The sequence below is a fragment of the Homo sapiens genome, chromosome 11, assembly GCF_000001405.40.
Source record: "Homo sapiens chromosome 11, GRCh38.p14 Primary Assembly".
Taxonomy (NCBI): domain Eukaryota; kingdom Metazoa; phylum Chordata; class Mammalia; order Primates; family Hominidae; genus Homo; species Homo sapiens.
The window spans coordinates 31,768,649-31,790,573 of NC_000011.10; the positions used below are offsets into that span (position 1 = coordinate 31,768,649).

General features: G+C 39.3%; 2 protein-coding genes across 55 annotated transcripts in view, besides 1 other annotated feature; one reads left to right on the forward strand and one right to left on the reverse strand.

The window, feature by feature from the left end:
- The window catches only part of ELP4 (elongator acetyltransferase complex subunit 4), a 280,558-nt gene extending 258,882 nt beyond the window's left edge, over positions 1–21,676 (forward strand). For all 3 annotated transcript variants that reach the window (NM_001288725.2, NM_001288726.2, NM_019040.5), the window contains one exon: positions 14,745–21,676. In NM_001288725.2, the coding sequence (NP_001275654.1) occupies positions 14,745–14,890 (146 nt within the window). In that variant the 3' untranslated portion in view covers positions 14,891–21,676. The remainder of the gene's footprint in view (positions 1–14,744) is intronic.
- Positions 10,591–11,790: an enhancer, noted in NCBI's record as "BRD4-independent group 4 enhancer chr11:31800787-31801986 (GRCh37/hg19 assembly coordinates)". NCBI's record gives its function as "activates an origin of replication core promoter dependent on BRD2, P300/CBP, MED14 and CDK7 cofactors, and independent of BRD4, by STARR-seq in HCT116 cells {active_cell/tissue: HCT116}" and the evidence as "EXISTENCE:reporter gene assay evidence [ECO:0000049][PMID:35650434]".
- PAX6 (paired box 6) overlaps positions 20,378–21,925 on the reverse strand; it is a 28,936-nt gene continuing 27,388 nt past the window's right edge. For all 52 annotated transcript variants that reach the window (NR_160917.2, NR_160916.2, NM_001127612.3 and 49 more), the window contains one exon: positions 20,378–21,371. Coding sequence is in view for 50 of the 52 variants with exons in the window: in NM_001368921.2 (NP_001355850.1) it covers positions 20,982–21,371 (390 nt within the window). In the remaining 2 variants the exon portion in view is untranslated. The remainder of the gene's footprint in view (positions 21,372–21,925) is intronic.

Here is a 21,925-nt window from a genome sequence, read left to right on the forward strand (position 1 = left end):
AATACCTATAGTAAATAAGAACTTGTTCATGCATGCAGAACAAAATAAAATAAGATTAAAAGCTCCAGGAAATCAGCCTGCTTCAAAAAACCATTAAAGTGTGCCTATCCCTCAAGCTTTACAAATGTGTTAATTGTCGTGTTTCAGTCATGTAAATATGTTTCAGCATAAAGTAACCAAGATTTCCTGTTATAGAAGCAGCCCTATCTGGGGGTGTGGGGGTAGGGAGGGACGAAAGAGGACTAAATAACACACTGTAATGAAACCTGCCTTTGGGCAGCACATGCTTCGGTTCTGAATGCCCAGAAATACTTCGCAGACACTCTAGGCTGCCTAGCAATGGGGATTTTCTAATTCTGGCTAGCTTGACAAAGTAAATACAACTATTGAACATAAGGCAGCTCCTAATAAAAAACAACAATTCCCCCTTGTAAACACCTACATTTGGCCCCATTAAAAATTCTTTCTTCATACCGAGGAACTAGCAGACCCTTAAATGTGGGGGTCTCAAAGTAACTAGAGAGTAGTTGGGAGATTTAATGCTGCCAGGATGTTTTACATTGCCATTTCCACCGAGCACTTCATACCCCATCTCAGGGCTTTGTAGAGTAATGTTCTGCATACACTGTGGGGCATTATGCAAGCAAAGACATTGGCTATTATGCTCTGAGGACTCATTTGTGTACAGCCAAAAGGAAATCAACACGTTCATGTATGTGTTAGACACAAATATATATGATTGCCACATTTCCAAGAGGAGTGTTCATCGAAAGCTGCCAAATTTGAAAGTTATTAATATTTAGGGGACTGACATTAACCTGGTAACTTAGCAATCTGGTGAATTGTCTGATTTCAAAATTCTCTGATTCCTGACTTTTCACATCTTAGAATTTCTCTATTCCGTAAGCTGTGTATCAGTCAGACCTCTGCCAATCCTTAAATTGGATAGTGGATCTGCTGCAGTTCTTAAAATCTCTGGATCAACCTCAAATGTGCACACACATTTATCTGCTAACAGTTACCAAGTAGGAGCTTTCAGATTATAGTAAGAAGCAAACATTAGTTTGAATTCTAGTAAACAAACAGAAAGATATTGTTACCTTTTACCACTTCTAGAGTAGTTTCCATATAATATACTTTTAAAAAAAAACGAGGATAAAAAGGAATTCTCATTTAATTAGTAGTTTGAATATATTTCTGAAAGACTTTTTCAAACTTAACATTCAGATCTAAAAACATTGTGTGTTCCTAAAATATATTAGTATTCTTAAGCCACCTGAGGGGTAGTACCCAAAATATTGCTCCTTAAATGTCTCCTCACTTATCTTGGGTAGGAAAGGTACTTCCTAGGCAAGGCAGGCTTGAAGAACCTGTTAAAATAGTAGTCTATCTAAAGAAAGACCCCAGTTCTCTTCTAGTTACGGCAATAGCAGCAGCAGGCACTAGATCTGAAGCATCTCTCAGCTTGGCCTTGCTAAAGCTTCATTCAAATTCTACACACTCTGGAGCTTATATGCTCCGGCCTGTATTGTGTGTTCCAGAGCCACACAAGCCATGGGTTAAGCAGCAGTTGGAGACCAGCAAAAAGGTTGCCAGTGAGAAACCCAGCTACACAATTAAGGAAAGATGAGTAGAAGGGAGTCAGTTGGGGAGATATCAAGTAACCGATTTAGACAATGTGGCACAATCAGAGGATCACAGGAATAGTGACCATGTGTGACTTATCCATCCCATTCCTTTATCCCAGACATGATGCTGCTGGAGAGAGGGGGCTGGTCAGGGAGAAGGCATCTTTCACAGTGTTTTTACTATCCAAGTACAGTTTAACAAATCCAGCTGTGTTATTTCAACTGTTACCTAAATGATTTTTTTTTCAGTTCTACTCATGTTGGAGCATTAATGGGAATAAAATTTCCAAAAAAAAAAAAAAAATAGAAACTAAAAGTAAAAGATACTGCTTTCAGTTTGCATAGAAAGTAAAACCAGGCCAAGAATAGTGGCTCACATCTGTAATCTCAACACTTTGGGAGGCCAAGGCAAGAGGATTACTTGAGCCCAGGAGTTTGAGACCAGCCTGGGCAACATAGTAAGACGCCCATCTCTACAAAAAATAGATGTGTTAGCACATGCCTGTAGTCTCAGTACTCGGGAGGCTGAGGCAGGACAGAGTGAGACCCTGTCAAAAAAGAAAAAAAAAAAAACAAGAAAGGAGGGAGGGGGGAGGGAAGGATTGAAGGTATGAAGGAAGGACCATTTTAAGCTTTCCAGGAATAATCTAGTTTGTTCTTTGTCAATGCATAAAATAAGGGAGGAGAATTCTTAAATGTCTCAAACAAAGGAACATTGGGATTGAAAGATGGTGGTATATTTATTGCTGTGTAGCCAAAAGATTCCAAGTCACATTTTAAAAGAATTAAACTCAGCAAACCATCCCCACAACAGTAGAAACTGCTAGAGTTTCTCCTTCATGGACATTTCACACAAGTCTCAACTCCTCTACCTGGAATCTTCTATTGGGCAGGCACGAGATTAAGAACCACCACTCCCCACAGAAGGAGGGTGAGGGTGAGATGGGAGTCACTTAGTAGCTAGAATGTTTCTTCAGAATCAGAAGAAAGCAGGATCTAATAGCCAGTATATACCACCTTTGGGGAAATTCTGTCTCTTGTAGAATATGCATGTTTGCAACAATTTTTTTTTCTATTATTGCAAATCTCCATGCATGACTTTGTAAGGATGTGGGTAAGATGGCCCTGGTATTCATAGAAATAAGCTCACATCACTTCCTTGCTACCCCTTGCCCTTAAGAATTAAATCCAAGTCACTTACTACACTTTAGAAACTCTACAAGATCTGACCACTGCGTACCACGCCAAACTTCTCATAGCCACTCCCCTGCTCATTGACTGCTCCAGAAAAGCTGACTTTTTCTCTGCCTTTCAAGCATGCCAAACTTATTCCCACCTCACGGTTTTTCCATTTTATTCCCTTTGCCTGGGACTTCTTTCTCTGGGTCTTATGAATCCCTTCTCAAAATTTAGGTCTTAGTGGCCGGGCTCAGTGGCTCACGCCTGTAATCCCAGCACTTTGGGAGGCCAAGGCGGGCAGATCACAAGGTCAGGAGATCAAGACCATCCTGGCTAACACAGTGAAACCCTGTATCTACTAAAGATACAAAAATTTAGCCGGGCGTGGTGGCGGCAGGCACCTGTAGTCCCAGCTTCTCAGGAGGCTGAGGCGGGAGAATGGCGTGAACCCAGGAGGCGGAGGTTGCAGTGAGCCAAGATTGTGCCACTGCACTCCAGCCTGGGCGACAGAGCGAGACTCCGTCTCTAAAAAAAAAAATTAGGTCTTAGCTCAAATATACTCTCCAGAAAGGCCTTCGCCTACTGAAGTCATACTCCCAGCCAGCATCATATCACCATGTTTTGTTTCCTTAAAAGCACCTCTCACCACCTGAATTATTTTCTTCTTTTTTTTTTTTTTTTTTAGAATAAGTCTTGCTCTGTCACCCAGGCTGGTGTACAGTGGCGGAATCTCAGCTCACTGCAACCTCCACATCCCGGGTTCAAGCGGTTCTCCAATTCTCATGCCTCAGTCTCCTGAGTAGCGGGGATTCCAGGCATGCACCATGATGCCCGGCTAGTTTTTGCATTTTTGGTAGAGACTGTGTTTCACCATGTTGGCCAGTCTGGTCTCAAACTGCTGGCCTTAGGCCTGCGTCGACCTCCCAAGTGCTGGAATTACAGGCGTGAGCCAACGCACCCGGCCTAAATTATCTTCTTTTTTTTGTTTGCCCTCCTATGTGTTGTCAGTCTCTCCTCGAGTCATCTAAGTATCTGTGCATTGTCCCTCCTAATCTTTGGAGTTCTCTGAAAGCAGGTGTCTTGCCTGTCTTGTTCACACTGTTTTGTCTCTAGTGCTTAGAAAAGTTCTGGCACACAGAGTGTAAACTGAAGCCAGACTGCCCAAGTTCAAATTCCATTGGAATACACTGAAGTTGCAACCTCACTTCTGCTCTTTTCCCATTGTTTCAGACATGAACACATGGTCCACAACTAACAGCAAGGGAAGTTTGAAAATGAAGTTTTTATTCAGAATTGTTTTATATTCAAGGGTTCTGCTGCTAAAGTAAAATGGGAGAGTAGATACTGGAAAAAAAAAATTATCAATCTCTGCCATAATTCACTTACTCCCTCTCCAGGCATGAGTGAGGAATCCTACTGGCTAGAAACTGCAAAAATTATCTGCCTTGGCAATCAAAGACTTTAGCCCAGTTTGTAGCACCCACTTCTCTCTGGAAGAAACTCCTTTGTCCATCATCCTGCATATCCCTCTAGGAAGTTTTTCCTTGTCTGTTATCAGCCCTGGCTACAGAAGGTCACCACTGGAGAGTATGCCCTTTGGGGGCTCCACAGTTTTCACAACTCAATTATTGATAGATCAGTTTTGGGGGCCTAGGATTACTGTAGAGGCTGAATAATTATAGGCATTTGACCAGGCTTGGGGTTTCTTTGCCAATACAGTTTCCTCAGGACTTAGATTTGCAGTCTATTTGCTTCCCTTTGGTTCCACATGCAAGTAATCACAGCCAAAGAGCTTGTCTTACATAGTTCTAGGATTCCGTTGCAAGAAACAGATACCACCTAGTTATTTTATGCAGAGGGAAAGTTTATAGAAGAAAATGGGGAATTAGTGAAATAATTGGAAGGGCTGAAGGAGATTGCCATCAAACTGGCCAGCAGGGAAGCAACTACCTGTACCATAGTCAGGCACAGGTACCAAGGTAAAGAATTGGGAGACCACCACTGGAGGTATTAATTGAACACATGTATGGGGCTGCACTCTTGGGGTTAGTAAATCCCACTGCCACCACTGCAACTTCTTCTTGACCCCCATGAAGCAAGCAACTGGACACAGAAGCAGAGGTTTGGCCTCAACTTCCACAACTGTCTCTCAACTCCCATGAAGCTGTTGACTAGTCAGTGGAATCTCAACACACAAAAATAAATGGTCTCCACAACTGTGCTTGCCAGTTGTGGTAGTTAAAGCAGCAGTGAGATAGCTCTTGTTTCTGTTCCATTTTTTTAATCTAGTACAAATGCATCTAATTGGATAAAGCTAATGCACACCTTCATAGCCCCTGATGTGTAAGAAGACACACCAGAAGACAAGATACTTCCTGATGGATGCTGAGCACCCATTCCCCTTGTTCATCATGACTGTTACATTGTAAGACTTCAGTCTTAGGTGGGGCATGGTGGCTCATACCTGTAATCCCAGCTGCTCAGGAGGCTGAGGCCAGAGGATTGCTGAGCCCAGGAATTCAAGGCCAGCCTGGGCAACATGGCGAAACCCTATCTTTACAAAAAATACAAAAATGAGCCAGACATGGTAGCTTGTGCCTGTAGTCCCAGCTACTCGGAGGCTTTGGGAGGATTGCTTGAGCCGAGGAAGTTGAGGCTGCAGTGAGCCATGATTGTGCCACTGCACTCCAGCATGGGCAACAAAGCGAGACTGTCTCAAAATAAATTTTTTAAAAAGACTTAACATTCTGGCCTCTCTACCCTTATCTCACTCTTTCGTCTTATCAGTAGCTGCCTTGAAGCCATCTAAAATAATAGACTTGAGTGGGAAGGCAATACCCTTAATCTTTTTTCTCTGAGGTGGCTCCCATTTTCTGACCAGCCACTTAACGAAGGTATTTAACGAAGGCTTAGGGGCACAGACATCTGCAAAGGTTGTCTGTCTTGGAGTGCAGGTGTAGAAACAGTTGGGTATTTTCAACCCCATGGGGCCCCAATTGCCAAATTGTTAGTCAGTTTAGCTTGTGGGCTGCAGGTAGTCCCTTCCATCTCTTCTTGCAGATTCTATAACTCTAGCATGAGTTCATCTGTCTTTTATAAATGAATTTGCTTAAAGTGGCAAGAAGCTACCAACACACTAGTATTCTGAATTTCTCTAATGTTCCACATAGAGCCTCTGATTAGGAGGGAGGAAATTTGCCCTCCAAGCTATCACAAGCATAACAAGGCTCACCAGCTTTCTACTTTGCAATACTTGACCTCACTGCCTATCTTCAAGCCACTAAGCCAACATACCTTTAGGTAGGTGGTAGAACTTCAGTGCCTCACTTGTCAGGTACCAAACTATATAAACAGAATATAGATTAGGCTGTTATTGCAGAGATCCAAAAACACGGTGGCTTAAGTAATGTAGAAGTTCATGTATCTCTCACATAAAGCCCAGTTAGATGACCTAGTACTCTTCTGGTGGCCAGATGGTGTCGAGAGAGCCTGTACCCATTCTGTCTTTTTGCTATGCCCTCCTCAGCAAATAGCTTCCATTTTCTGGTCCAGGATGACTGTGTTAGCACCTACCCTGAAGTCCACATTTCAGCAAGTGGGAAGAGGGAAGTTAGATTCATCCCTAACATTCAAAGAGCCTAGAGCAAGAATGCAAATAAAGGACCACATAATTATTATATGCCTAAATACTTTAAGTTATTAAGCCAACAAACTATTAAATATGTTCTATCTTCCTTCACACATATACCTCCCTGAAAAGCCAAGTTTAAACTTAGGATCAGGGCTCCACTCCAGAACATGAAACACACGGAGAATTGGCCTACAGCATGCCTCCTTTCTCTTCCCACCACTGCCCCCTTACCACACACAAGGGCACATTCACACATGTTTGTGGATGCCCACCTTGCACATCAAAACTGTATCCCCCACAAATGGCCATCTCTTGGCTACTTCTGGGCCCCATGTTATACACACAGACAACACAGTCGACCCTTGGGGAATGAACCTGGGGGAGAGAACTGTGCAGGCTTTGTAGTCATTTGGACAGGGAATTCTGAGGTTATGAGTACCCAGAGCATGTTTTATAAAGAAGGGCAGGATGGACGTGGTAACTGACGCCTGTAATCTCAGCACTTTCGGAGGCCAAGGCAGGCAGATTGCTTGAGCCCAGGAGTTCGAGACCAGCCTGGACAACATAGTGTGACCCTATCTCTACAAAAAAGCTTAAAGGCCAGGTGCGATGGTTCACACCTGTAATCCCAGCACTTTGGGAGGCTGAGATGGGCGGATCATGAGGTCAGAAGTTCAAGACCAGCCTGACCAACATGGCAAAATCCCGTCTCTACTAAAAATGCAAAAATTAGCTGGGCGTGGTAGCACATGCCTGTAGTCCCAGCTACTTGGGAGACTGAGGCAGGAGAATTGCTTGAACCCAGGAGGTGGAGGTTGCAGTGAGCTGAGACCACACCATTGCACTCAAGCCTGGATGACAGAGTGAGACTTCGTCTCAAAAAATAAATAAATAAAAATTAAAAATTAAAAAAAATCAGTTGGACTTGGTGGCATGCATCTGCGGTCCCAGTTGTTTGGGAGGAGAAGATGGGAGGGTGGCTTCAGCCTGAGAGGGGAAGGCTGCAGTGAGCTGTGATTGCGCCAGTGTACATCAGCCTGGGCAAAAGAGTGAGACCCTATCTCACAAAAAAAAAAAAAAAAAAAAAAAGAGTATGGGATCTAGAAGCACATCTCCCTTAGCCCTGTAATTCCTCACCCTGTAGGATGGGGCATGGCCAAAGGAGGTGTGGATCAGGACCTAGGGCAGGGGCTCTCTTGCCAAGATCTAATAGCAATTTTAAGGGAAAGGATAAGTAGATGGTGCCTCCTCTTTAAGGAGCTCACCCTAAAGTTAACCATAGCACTTCTGCTCCAGATGAAGTGACCATAACTTAGTCGCTCAGCCTCTTCTATTGGCAAGGGAAGCTAGGAACTGTGACCTCTGTTCTAGAAGGCTATGTGCCTCACTAATATTTAGAAATTCTTGTACTCTCTGAAAAGGAGAATAGATTTTGGGAGTAAACTGGCAATCTTTGCCACAGACACATGCCTTTTCACAAATCACACTTTTGTTTAGACAAGTGAGTTCTTCTCAATCTTCTTTCAGAGAGGTGAATTTGGAGGCAAGACAATACTGTCAGTTATAATTGACGGTCAAAATAATTGCACACCTGAGCATTTTTCAATGGACAGCCAATGTGCAGTGTTCCAGTGCTGAAATTTTGTCTAATTTTCAAATCAGTCAGGAAGAACCCAATGAATATTTTTCCATTTAAAGGATATAGTATGATTATGACATTCAATAAAATTCAATTAAGATTAATCATTTTAATCTTAAACCCTGGGCATGAATTGGGCCTTAAACAAAAAGTTAAACCTAAAACCTAATCATGTTTAGCAGAATTTGCTCCAGAAATATTCAGCTGCTACCAAATGTACACTTGCCAATCCAAAAAGAGCAAATATTTGGTTCTGGCATTGTTTCCACTGGCCTATTCATATATGACAATAATGCAAAATTCAGCAGATGCATCCTCCACATTGCAAATCCTAACCAGATGTAGAATAATTACAATATAATATTACATTGTAATAATGTAATAATTAGGGAGTACTACAAATATAACAATATAAAATATAATGATTATATAATAGCATATAACATTGATTTTTTTTTTGCAAGTTGAAACAACACTCTGAAATCTTGTGAAGATATCATAGCCATACTATGATGGTGAACATAGTCTGTCTCCTCCCCTCCATCCTCCTCCTTGTGACCCTGAAAGGAAATCTGTCTTTCCACAAAGGAAGGAGAAATTCTGTGTTTATCCATAGAGCAGGGGAGACTATGAACACATTGCTTTTATTCCCACCCTCTGGACTAGTGGGGTCATCAGGTATGCATTTCTTGGTCAGAAACCATGAATGGGGCCCCCGCAGTCAGCTATAGTTCACATACTGAGTGAATGCTTCTGGATGGTGATCATTTTGCTGTGGCCCTTCTGGAAATTGACATGCCACTAGTTGTCTCCCAATATCCATTTACTCCTCCTTCCATAGTAATAGATTTGTTAAACATTTTTACACACTTTTAGACATTTCCCAGCCTCCCTTGCAGCTAGATGTGGCCATGTCTTTGTTCTGGGCATGAGTGGAAGTGATGTGTCCAACTTTCAGGTCTTGCCTTCCTGGCCTCTTTCTTCTCACAAGCTAAGAAGAGCATCAGCCTTGCAGCCAGAAGTGGAACCCCTTGTTGAGAATGGCAGACCAGTCCTTCCCACTCTGAATTGCTTACTTCTGGACTGTAAAATGGAAAAGGAATAAACTACCTTTTATAAGCCATTTTTGGAAGAGGGTAGGAGTGTCTCTGTATTATAGCTACTTAGCCTGTACTCTAGTTCATTCCCTACCACTTGGAGCAGTTCAGAATACAAACTGGCTGCAGAGATGAGTATATCATCCTGCAGTGAGTGCATCAGAGCTGAAAACCTGCAGTGGAATAGGATGGCGTGCCTTTTGAGCGTTTGTTTCCTCCCCATTATATAAAGGGGGGATATGCTTTTAAAACTCGAGTGGGAAAGCTTCATCTTCTGACATTTCCTTTATTAGTTATTTTGCCAGCAGTGAAGACATGTGCAAAATACAGGTTTTAAAAATAAAATGCACCCTAAATTGCCTCCTTAATACAGCCATGCATGTATACACTGGCCCAGAAGCCAGGCATCTTACATACCCCACTTTCACTCCTACCTTACTCAGTATGAGGGAAAGTATTTAGACTTTTAAAACCTCAGAAGCAGGGACTGCAGTTGCACTTTGCTTTATATGTCTGTAAGGAGCCGCAGTAGAGAGTAATTATACTAAATACTCAGATTCCAGGCAGACTGAGACCTGGTGGCTAAGTCTGATGTGCTGTTGCTATTGTTTATATTTGTTCGTTATATTTGTAGATTGATTTCCTTGACCTAATAAACTCACTTGTTTTTGTCTTGTTATACCATATGTACTTTTATGAACCACCTCAGATCCATTTTTGAAGCAAGAAGAGATAAATAAATTAGTGTAGAACTTGATAGTTCACAAAACACTTACACATCTCATTTTATTCTGACGAGAGTCTTATGAGGGAAGAATCATTCCCCCATGATAGATGAGGACACTGAGGCTTAACCAGCTGAATTGACTTTTCTGAGGTTACGTGGAGAGTGAATGACAGAGGCAGGTATCAAACTGTCACTCTCTGCCTCTGTGTCCAGTGCCCACAAGTCCTGGCCACCTCTGTTAAGGGACCAATGTAGAACCTGTGTGTTCTAAGGTATTTATAAGTTGTTGTTTTTTGTTTTTGTTTGTTTGTTTTTTGAGACAGTTACTAAAGTTTTAAAGGTTTTTTTGTAGAGATGAGGTCTCACTGTATTTTATTGTCCAGGCTGGTCTTGAACTCCCAGGCTCCCACTTCGGCCTCCCAGAGTGTGGGGATTACAGGTGTGAGCTACCCCGTGCCTGGCAAGTTTTCATTTAAATTGGCAATGTTTTAAAGAAAAATGAAAAAATCTATTAGGAGTATTCTGAAATGTTAATGCTTATTTCTGTGATCCTGAGCAATACAAATTGTGACTTTTCAGGAAATGTCAGAAATTTTTAAAAGGTTTAAAATAAATCTTTAGTCATCTGCTAAGGGTCAAAGTATACTACATCAGTTGTTTTCAGAAAACAAACAGTGCCTGATGGTTTGGTCTTGGCAAAATGTGAAAAATATAAACTGATTAAACTTATTTTAATGAGTATTTACCTGCAATTTGTCTCAAATCCAGGTGTAATCGAGATTCATTATCTTGCCCCTTCTGTCTGGGAACTGTGAGCACTGAGCACAGGCCTGGCAGGCTGGGAGAAACGGAATTAGGAAGGGAACTGTTGAGCCAGGAATTCCAATCTTATGTGTCTATAGGATCAATTTAGCTGCTGACTCAGAAGGAACAAAATATAGACAGTGGCTAAGCCCAACAAAGAGACGGAGAGGCAAGTAGAGGGGAAAGAATCTCAAAGTCCAGCTCTCCTCGGTACCTCTTGGAGCCTCAGAGCAAATCACTTCTGCTGCTGCTGCCTTATTATGACCCTGGGCTTCCCATGGGCCTAAGGGTGCCTTTTGGCAGGAGTCTCCATAATCTGCCAGAGTGTTTTGCTAGCCTCACTGTTTCCCTCCTTGCAGCGTTGATCCAGTGGGATTACAGCAAATCACCCTGGCCTGTGCAGGAACCGTGGAAGTTGTCACACCTTTCCCAGATCCGTTTGCCTACACAGAAATCATTGTTTTAGACAAGGCATTAATGGAAAAAGTAGGCAGCCAGCCAGCCAGCCAGCTATCCATCTCCTGCATCACACAGTCTCTTCCTCCCAGAATCTGAGAAAAGAAAATCAAGTGGAAAAATTTCAGCTCAAGAAGTAAGATATGGTTTTGGTTTTGGCCCTTGCTTCAGAACCCCAGGTATAAAATGAGAAATATGAATACCTTGATTTGGTTTTCAAGGTTGAGAATAATATGATTTTTTTGTGGTCTGATTTTTCTTTAAACCATTACTCAGTGAAACCTCAATGTCTAAAAGTTTATATACCCTACAGCCCTGTAGTTTTAAGTCTAAAGGAGGTCACCATGCTATGCAGAGTATCTTGCAGCATTTTTTTTCAGAAGACAGATCTGGGATACAGCAGCATCTGAACATTTACATGTCAAGTGTGTAAATGCTTTGGAAGCCTCAAAGGAAAAATCCCTGACACACCTGGCATGCCTGGAACCTGATCTCTCGTTCTTCCTCGCTGTTTCACATCGCACTGACATGGCGCACAGGGGGAGGCTCAGAAAGAAAGAAAACAAAACCCACTGCTTGAGAATTTAGATTGCATAGTAAGCTCATTCAAGTAATAATCAACAAAAGCAGGCAAAATCACACATAGATTCACATATTTCCAAGAGCCATCCTTGGGCATTTTCAAAGGGCATGAATATACAACTAGCTTTACAATGTAGCATTTGGTTAAAAGCAGTTAATCATATTACCCCTAAATTTTTATGCTCAGAAGTCTCACACGAATGATATTTGACTTTACTTCAAAGCCATTCAACCTGAAAGATTTCCAAGCATGTCACATGTCACATTTAGCTACTTTTTCTCTGAAGGGCTTTCGGCCAACTGGCTCACCACATTCATTGCCTAGAAAAGCAGAGGCCAAGAAATGCTGAGCCAGTCCACAAGCAAATAGGTAGGCTCCTGAAATAAATTGTATTATGCTTGTTCTAAATAAAGCACGCAAGTTTTCTCATTTAGATTATCAGAGCAGTATGACCCGTTAACTAAATGCATCATGTAATCGTAAAGATATATTGGTTCTCCTGTTAAGCAAATCTCCATTCTTCATGTCAGAATCCAGTTCATTACTTCAGACCCAGCCCAGATCCCTACCCCATAAAGCTTTTTCATGTTTTCCTTCGCCAACTGTGATTTCTGGTTTGTGTCTGCCTTTCTTGTATACCTAACTTGGAGTGTTCCCTGTGAGGGTTACCTATGTGCTTGCCTTATTCATATTACTGTATTGTAAGGAAATGAATGTGGAAGGTACTCTATTGACATAAGCTTTCAGAATCCCTTGCTGCAAGTGGATTCTAAATATTTGTTGACTCCACTTGATTTACCAAACAGCCTAATCACCATCTGACGTCATTTGTCAGGTCCCAACCAAAAGTATATACATGCACGTTTCTTTATGGTAATTTTTTTTTCAGATAACCTTCAGATTATGCATGTATCCTGGTCATTTTTCTTTTGCTCATTAGCAATAACTACAAGATCTTAAACATTAAAACTCAGACATAAAATTAAAGGTTTCTTTCCGTCCTGCTTCCTCACGTGGACACTGATAGAATTAACCCTACACAGACATTTGTAACCCCAAACTTTAGAACCATACCTGCCTTTTGGATTCCTGAGCCTTTTTTTTTTTTTTTTTTTTTTTTTTTTTTGGACAGAGTCTTGCTCTATTGCCAGACTGGAGTGCTGTGGCACGATCTCGGTTCACTGCATCCTCCGACTCCCTGGTTCAAGCAATTCTCCTGCCTCAGCCTCCCTGGTAGCTGGGATTACAGGCACACACCACCACACCCAGCTAATTTTTGTATTTTTAGTAGAGACGGGATTTCACCATATTGGCCAGGATGGTCTCCATCTCTTGACCTCATGATCCGCCTGCCTCAGCTTCCCAAAGTGCTGGGATTACAGAAATGAGCCAGTGTGCCTGGCCGATTCCTGAGCCTTTCATACCTTTGTTTCTGCCTGAAATCTTTCCTGGAACAAACTAGAGCATAAAGAAATGAAAGAATTGCTTAAAACAAAGAAACAAATATGTCTTTATTTGTGCTTTTTTATCATTCAAGAAATAGATATTTAATTGCTTAATAAGTGACAGGCTGGGTCCCATGGATACTAAGGAATAGTTCTGTATGGATATTACTCTATGAGTGTTACAGCTTTTCTTGACCCCGTTAACCTTTCTGACATCTTCCTTGATCATGCATTTGTATAATAGTATCTTTTATCCTAGATATATTTGTATTAAAAATAAGTACAGGCAGGTTGAAATCAAGGAAGAATATTTTTTCATAAATTATTTTTAGTTTTAAAATATTTTGATCATGTGCACACAGCTTGTGTTTACATGACAATAAAAAGCCTTTATTCAAGAAAGAAACTAACTGGAGCATATGCTTGTGGACCACAATATTTTGACCAAAATAATATGGTTCTCCCCTTTTTCATCTGTTTTTCCCCCCCATATTGAAGAGAATTTTCCAAATGAAGGGTTTCAGCTAGGTTGTCTCCAGGTCAGTTCTCCTCTAGAAGGCTGTGTGTAGTCATCAGTGGGGAGCCCTATGCTGCCTTATCTTTAGCCTCCCACACCACTTTGTGTCTCACACAACAGATAAGTTCCTTTAAGTTTGGATTTTTATGAAATAAATTTTGCGAGCTGGGAGCACGGAGAGTTAAATGAATTTGATATTCTTTTGAAAACAGAAAAATGTTATTTTGAAATATGGATGTTTCTCCCTAATTGCAGTAACTTCTGTAATTGTGGTCAGTTGCTGGGGTCAGTTTAAATCAGCCTGTATCTGCAGAAAAACAGTTGGGATGGGCGGGGGTTGGGAGGGTGTTCAAAGCAACACTATACTTTTGAAAACATGACCCAACATTATGCATAGAAACAAACTTACCAAGACCGGTAATAGATGCTGTGGCTGACTTACCTGAACATATGAAAAAATTGACCCTCCGGTTGGTATCATTTTTTTATGTTGTCAACATTTCTGTGAAAATTTTAAGTTCCTAGAGAAAGTATAACCTTGAAAAAGAATCGTCAGGTCAACTAATAGACAAAGACAAACAAGTATTCATGGGAATCTATAATTGCTGAAAAGCTACATTTGACCTTAAAAATTGCATGTTGGAGCTCTGGCAAAATAAAACAAAGCCAAAAAGAAAAAAGACATCTGCCGTTATTTATGCGATATTTCCAACGTTGCTGTTATTTATGTGTTTACATGTGTTCACTTCTACCTAATGAGAAAAGATCTTAATACATTTTGGTTTGGACACTGAAAATGTTCCAATAAGATTCCTGGTACGGTTTCTGTGATGGCTGTAATTTGTAAAATCCAGTAGGAACAGGAGGTGATTATACTGGAATTCAGTCTGAAGAATTGTTTTAGCAGGAATTTTATATGCAAGTCTAAATGCTGATCAACAGAGCATAATATTGTAATCTGAAGTATGCTAGCCAAAGCAAAATTAATTTTTTTTCTTCTTTCTTCTTTTTTTCTTCTCCTGAAATCTTCTGCCATAGCGACTGCATTTGCCTCCAGACTTGTCAGACACAGTGAGCCGCTCAAGCAAAATGGATCTGGCAGAATCCGCCAAGCGGCTGGGCCCAGGCTGTGGCATGATGGCCGGAGGCAAGAAGCACCTGGACTTCTAGGGATTCCTCCTTAGTCGCTGCATGCAGAATTCTATGACACTCTAATTATGATTGCTAATAGCTTATGTAAATATTTTTCTTAACAATTTGACCCTCCACTCCTTGAAAAACACAGGATTATAAAATGGTGCCGCCATTTCTCATTTTTTAACTTTTTACAGAACTAGCACAGCAGAAATACTTTTAAATTTTTCCTTCATGCTCTAGAGAAAATAATTTTATTTTTAAATAAACGCCAAAAAATGTCAAAATCTCAAGATTCCTGACAGTGGTCATTCGTGTGTGTACTAAGGCATTTAGTGTCATGGTAAAGTGCATGTCACAGCAGGTAGCATACAAAACATGATGAAATTCAAGATTGTATGTGAAAACATACTTTCTCTTTATTACAGAAACAGTCACTTGCCACCAAAAATGCTGTTTTTTAAATGAAAATGTGTTTACTAATATATAAAATAAATTTGCATTTATGTATCCAGTTATTAAATTGATAAAGACAAAGTAATATTTTGGGATTTAGATTCCACTAGAGATAATTAGTCTACCATAGTAGTTATTAAATATAAAGAACTTCAGTGATAGGAAACATAGAAAAAAGAAGTGGATGGTCTTTAGTTTAGTAATCCTAAACAATTGAAGTCAGTACTATGAAATTATGTCAACAGGCATCATTCAGGATTGAAATTCAAACTGACAGCTACATTAATGCTAGGATACCAGGAGAAAAACATATACTGAAGCTTGTTGAGAGATTTTACAGAACATAGGTCTGAGACAAAGTGAAAAAATGAAACTAACTCAGATTTCCATTGCATCACATAAATATTTTGTTAATAATGAACATTGGTTGAGTGTGTAAATTTCTAACCATGTAAACATGTCTTTGGGGGGTATAGCATATCGAACCAGTTTTCATATGAAACATTAGGTGTTTTAATTACAATTCTATATTCTCAAAGCTTTTGACAGATAATGGATAAAAAATGAAAGTTGAAAAGTAACTTGCATATTTAAGAGTCTTGATTTTTTAAAAGGTGTTTAACATCCATTGGGAGAAACTGAATTTCCAAAATACATTTTCAAATGTATTTAATATTTTGAAGCAGTTATAACTAGCATTTTTAAGCAGCTTGCTTTTAATATACCACAAATTATACTTTATTTGTTCTTGACAACATTGTAGAAAACAAAGACTAGGTTTTTAAAACTGTCTAACCAATATGATGAATGTCAGTCACTTAAAAAAACCCACTGTAGCATAAACACATACTGTATACAGCTTTTATTCAGAATTAGAATAATTGAATCAATGACAGTGATTTGCCAGGATGTCAAATCTCTCCATCATATCCTGTCACTACCAGTTTATTTTTTGTGATCAAAATCAAAAAGACAACTATTTTGTCACCCGCTATTTCATTAGTACTAAAAATCAGGTTTCTTATTCTATTTTTTTAGAATGTCGGGTTTATTTTTTTCATTTCTTTTAATTCTAAAGACACAGATTCTTCCCCATTTTCTTTTCAAAATAAAGTTTCAGAATTGATCTGTCAGTTAAAATTAAAGGGCTTTATATTAAGCAAAGGTGCTTTTAAATTTTAAAGCAACTTCAAAAAATTGATTTAGTCCATAGATAATAAATAATGTTGTGCGGATACTCCACAAAAGCTCTGCTATGTCCTTTGAAAGCATTATGAACATTCTGAATAAATTCAAATGAGTATTTTAGTCAGTTTATTATTTTAATAACTCTAACCTTTTTCTTACCGTGTTGATTCATTTTATACAACACACAATGGAACAATTACATAGCATTTGACTTGCTGAAAAAGAGATACGAGGTCATCAGATATGTAAATTGCTTGTCAAAATACTTAATAGGTCATTGATATACTTCCCTGGCTACCATGTCTATAAAATTAACAGCCAATTACTAGTTAATATATGCTTTGCAAATAGATAACTACTATAAAAATTGAATATGCATATTTGAACCCTTATTTTAAATATAAAAGAAACTTTTCAAACTCAGTAAAAGTGCATTTTGAATAATAAGTGTACCTGGGCTTTCCAAAAATCATATCCAAGTGCTTTGTTTTTCTAATTCACTGGGCCGGCTTTGTAAAAATAAGCTACTGGAGAGGGGTGTGTATTTTTGTCTTCCTCTGATAAAAACGCACTCTGAAAATGTGTTTTCCTTTCTTCTGGAAACATTATTTGTTACTCATTATGTTAATAACTTACTACATAAACATATCTCTCTTCAATAATGCTACCTTAGGTATAGACACCATTTTGATACATTATGAAATATACACTCCATTAACAGATTTTTTTTAATTATCAGCTTGACTCAAAGATATAAATACTTAAGAACAATGCCAAACGTAATATCTGAAATGATATCTTTTAAGTGTTTCTAGTATATGAACTTCAAAACCCTATATGGTACTCATTTCTTACACTAGATTTGCCTTTCTTTAACATGAGATAAATATTTTGACTACTGCAGTTTGCTCAGGTGCTCGGGTTCTAAGACTTTTTGAATTTCCTTTTAGTAGCCACCATACAATATCTACTTTTCTCTTCCATTTATTCCTTATGTCCACCTCCAGGATCTTTAAATACTAACAGTAGACAAAATAAAACTACTTTAGAAGGAAGCGACACTCTGCAATCAATTCCCTGTCCATCTTTTAACAAATCAGACACACATAGGCATACAAAAGGAGAGTGGGGGGACCCCCCTATTCATTTGTTTAAGCCCATTATTAATGTCATTTCTAAGACAGCATGTTACTGCTTTCCAAAGATAGTCACCGTCAACATTATTGAAATAAGCAGTACTAACCCTAAGTACTTACACTTTGAACTTTAAAACCGAGCAGTTGAGTCATTCAGTACCAAGCCAAAACACAGAAAAACAAAAAAGCAGATGAGGTTTATTCTTGAGAAATGAAAAAGAGAAGAATATATATTTCGCCTTGGTGAGCCAAACATACAGAGAAGAAAAGGCTTTTTAAAATCTTACTAGTATGAGAGGCCCAGAGTAAAAAGAAATAAGCAAAAGAATATAGACACAATCCTAAGATGACATTCACAGAACAAAGCTGAATCTTCAAATAATACTGTATGAGTGAATCTTAGGAAACCTAGTGATGATAGTAAGAAGAAATGGCAGTGAGCTGTAGCAAGAAACCAGTTGTTCACCATTTAAGGGTTAGGAGGCATAGCTTTGGGGGAAAAATATTCTAGAAATTCATTGCAGTAAAATGCATTTTTTTACTTAGAGCAGTTTGAACGTTTATTACTTAAAACATTCAGCTCTTATTCTATTCACCTGGTTTTCCCAAGTCAGTCAAGTTTGGAGAAAAAATTTAGACGTTTAGTCCTGGGATTCTACTGAAGTCTTCACAAATAATCTCCATCCTGGAAGATGGTGTCAAAACATCCCTGCAGATACCCCATTGATAAATATATAAATATATGTATCGTTAAATAAATAATAAACAAAAATTATTTCAACAATGAGTAAAAGGCCAACTCCCAGGCACTGCTACCACACAGAGCCTGCCATGCTGTCCCCAAGAGAGTGCCTGGAGCTCTGTTTGGAAGGACAGCTCATGTCCCTAGGGTGTGGGCAGAAGGCAAGGCAGCCGTTCCCATCCTGCCGGACCAGAGGGCTTCTGCAGCTGAGCAGCCGCTTCTTCAGACTATACCAGACTGTGCTACTTTGCCCTGGCAATCCTGACCTTCAGAGCACACATATACGTGCCCAAGTGCACACATACAGACCCTCCGCTCCCACGTCACTCCTTTTCTCCCATTCCCACCTCTTGCACCTGGCGTGCGACATCCGGGTCTCCAAAGTCTCTGCTGTCTACACAACAGAACCGTGGGCCGGAACTGGCTGCCTGACCGTGGTGGAAATTACAGCCAGCGAGAAGGAAGAAGTAAGCCAGCCAGCAGCTGTGGCATGCACTCCCACATAGCCCTTCTCTGACAGTTCCCTCAGCACACAGCCCTCAGGGAATGTAGGCTGCAAAATGTCAGGAGGTAGAAATGTCTGCACCGGCAATTGTACCAACAGTGCGTATGTGTGCTCACTCCCCTGCAGAAATGTGCTGCTGTGCAGTGCAGGCTGACACTGAACAAAACTACATGCACACATACAAAAACTGCAACTTAGGAAGGTGTCTCCAAATGTGCAGCAACTCTGGTGGAATAAAATTATTAGTATATTTCATGCCGGAGCAATGAATCTCAATTATCTGTTCACAAGTAATTCCTTAACTAAAAAACAGTAGATATTGAACGAGAAGGTCATGTTTAAATCCTTCCATTAATTTCTACATTTCTGATCATTTGCTTTTGGGGATTTTTTTAAAGCAGAGTATAATTCAGTGGAAGTGTGTCTTTGTCCCCAGAGGTTTCTGCATGTGCAAGCATTTTAATCTAGACTGCCAGAACCCCCAGGCTTTTTAGTGAAGTTTGCAGAGGAAGACTTATCTGTATTGACTTATATGTTGCACAGAACAAATGAAAGTCTCAGACAGTCCTTTTTTACCCAACAAAGGCTTATTTTTTTCCATCCTTTGCTTGGGCTCAAGCACTCCTGCCCTGCGTGCCTCCACTTTAAACATGATCAGAACTGTGCTTCATTGCAAATAACAACTGACCAACAATGGGCCCTGCTTCATAGATTTGGGAATGTTTGGCTTAAGCTGCCAATGACTGAAGGCCTTTAATTCCCACCGGCCAGTCACAGTCTGCTTTGTTGTTGTCTGTTGATGTGTCTGTGCTCATTATTCCTTGACATGCAACATCCCCCCTCCACCCTCCAACCATCCACAACCGCACAGAAAGCAAGATTCAAATGGGAACAGCTGTAGTGGTTCAATGGGAAATGATGCCTCTTGTGCAAAGGGGAGGGAGACAGAAAAGGGAGAGGGCCTATTTGAAAAAGGCAACAGCTTTCAGAAAGTCTCCTTTAAGAAATCTACTTTTGAATATACTTCAGTGAAATCATTGTTGAAATAGGCTGACAATGGAAATCTGCCCAGATTGAAAATGCCAGTCCTAATTCAAAAAACAATTCCTAGCTAATCGCTTGTTGCATTTTTAAATTATTTCTAGACTTTGAGCTTTAGAATTAAATGGCTAACTGGGAAATGTTACCATTTTGTATATATGTTGTGGGTATAAATGGGCACAGATCTACACCCTGCTGTAAGTGGAATTTTTTTCTAACACGTTTTTGATTTATGGTATCTATAAGGATTATTTTTTAAGGATCATCAGGATGTAAAACAGAGTGTGTGTGAAAGTAACCATTGGTTTAGAATGTTGATCTAACATGGAAATAAAATTTGTAACACCACACTATAAGGTTAAAAAGAAAACTGTATAATAAAGGAAATACAAAGGCTTTGGCATGGTTTTTTACAATCAACAATGGTTAATTTTGATATGTAGTTGTGAACAACTTCAAAACACTTAAGTTTAAAACTCTTGCAAGCACTTTTAATTGATTAGGAATGAACTCTAGATGCACAAAATGATTGGACCGTGAACAGTAATACAACTATATCTAAGAACAATTAACTTTTGCTGGCCAAAAAAGAAACGTATGATTGCATGAAAATGTGTATAAAACATCTATATTCTTGTCAAATATAAATGAAATTAACTTTATTATAGAAATCATTCTGAGGATTTCTAGGGAAGACAAATACTTACATTTTGACATAAAACAAATTGGATTATATCGAAGACACACTCTACCTTTTAGCTATCAACTTTTTTTCTTCCTTGAATTTATATCTTACCCTTTTTTGCACATAAACTTCATCTGTTAACAACCTTTGGAAAACCAACAGATATTTCTGACATAAATCTAGTGCATGTTGTTCCAGGTTTAATTATATGCAAAGGAATGATACAAACTTGGAACATCAGTCCATAAACTATGAACAGATGGGTAGAAGTATTCGATATATCTTGATAAAACTCTTAAATTCGTGGCAAAGCTTGTTGATCATGGTTTTCTTTTTAAAAAAAAAAAAAACAACTTCATGACCAACACAGATCAAACATCCATCCAGTCTACATTGTTCTTTTTTTCATTATAACATACAAATGCCCATTTACAAATAATACACCAAAATGAATAAAAGTTTGGATACCAAAATGAAGATTTGTTCCAACTGATATCGTGCCTTCTGTATACAAAGGTCCTTGTTTCAAGTCCATTCCTTCCCCAGTGGTACAATACAGGACACAATTGTAGAACTGAAGCGGCTCTAACAGCCATTTTTCTTTCTTTCCTGAAAGCTCAACTGTTGTGTCCCCATAGTCACTGACTGAATTAACACAATATTTCCTTTCCTTTTTTTTTTTTTTTTTTTTTTTACTGTAATCTTGGCCAGTATTGAGACATATCAGGTTCACTTCCGGGAACTTGAACTGGAACTGACACACCAGGGGAAATGAGTCCTAGAAGTGGATGAAAGAAATAGCCATGTAGATATTCCCTTTGAGAAACAGACATGGAATACAAATTTATAGGTTTACAAAAAAAAAAAAAAAAAAAAAAACTAATACTTTCTAACATTTTTTACTGTATTAAAATCACTTCAATTGTTACAAATAAAAGTAGCACCTTCAGAAACTAGACAATATATGTATATATACCTATTGGATCCCAAGTACCCCCCACCCCAATCCAAAGGAAAAGAAAAAAAAAATCCTCTGTTTGTTTGCATGTTTGGAACTTTTACAATAAAGCTGTCTCTGGAAAACCAATGTGTCACTTTTTATTTCCAGCAAAAGGTCTAGAGGAGCTATGAGGGCAAGAAGCATTTCAACAAGCACGCACCTACAGCTCAGTGGGCCCCCTACTGAGCTTCGTCTAATAATCTGTCCTCAGAAAACTTGCAGTCTCAGGCCTTGTCTTCATACACAACTTTTGTGACCAAATTCAGGAAAAACAATTTTAGTTTTTGTCTATATGGTGTAAAGTTACTAATTAGCTTAACTGAATTTCCCTT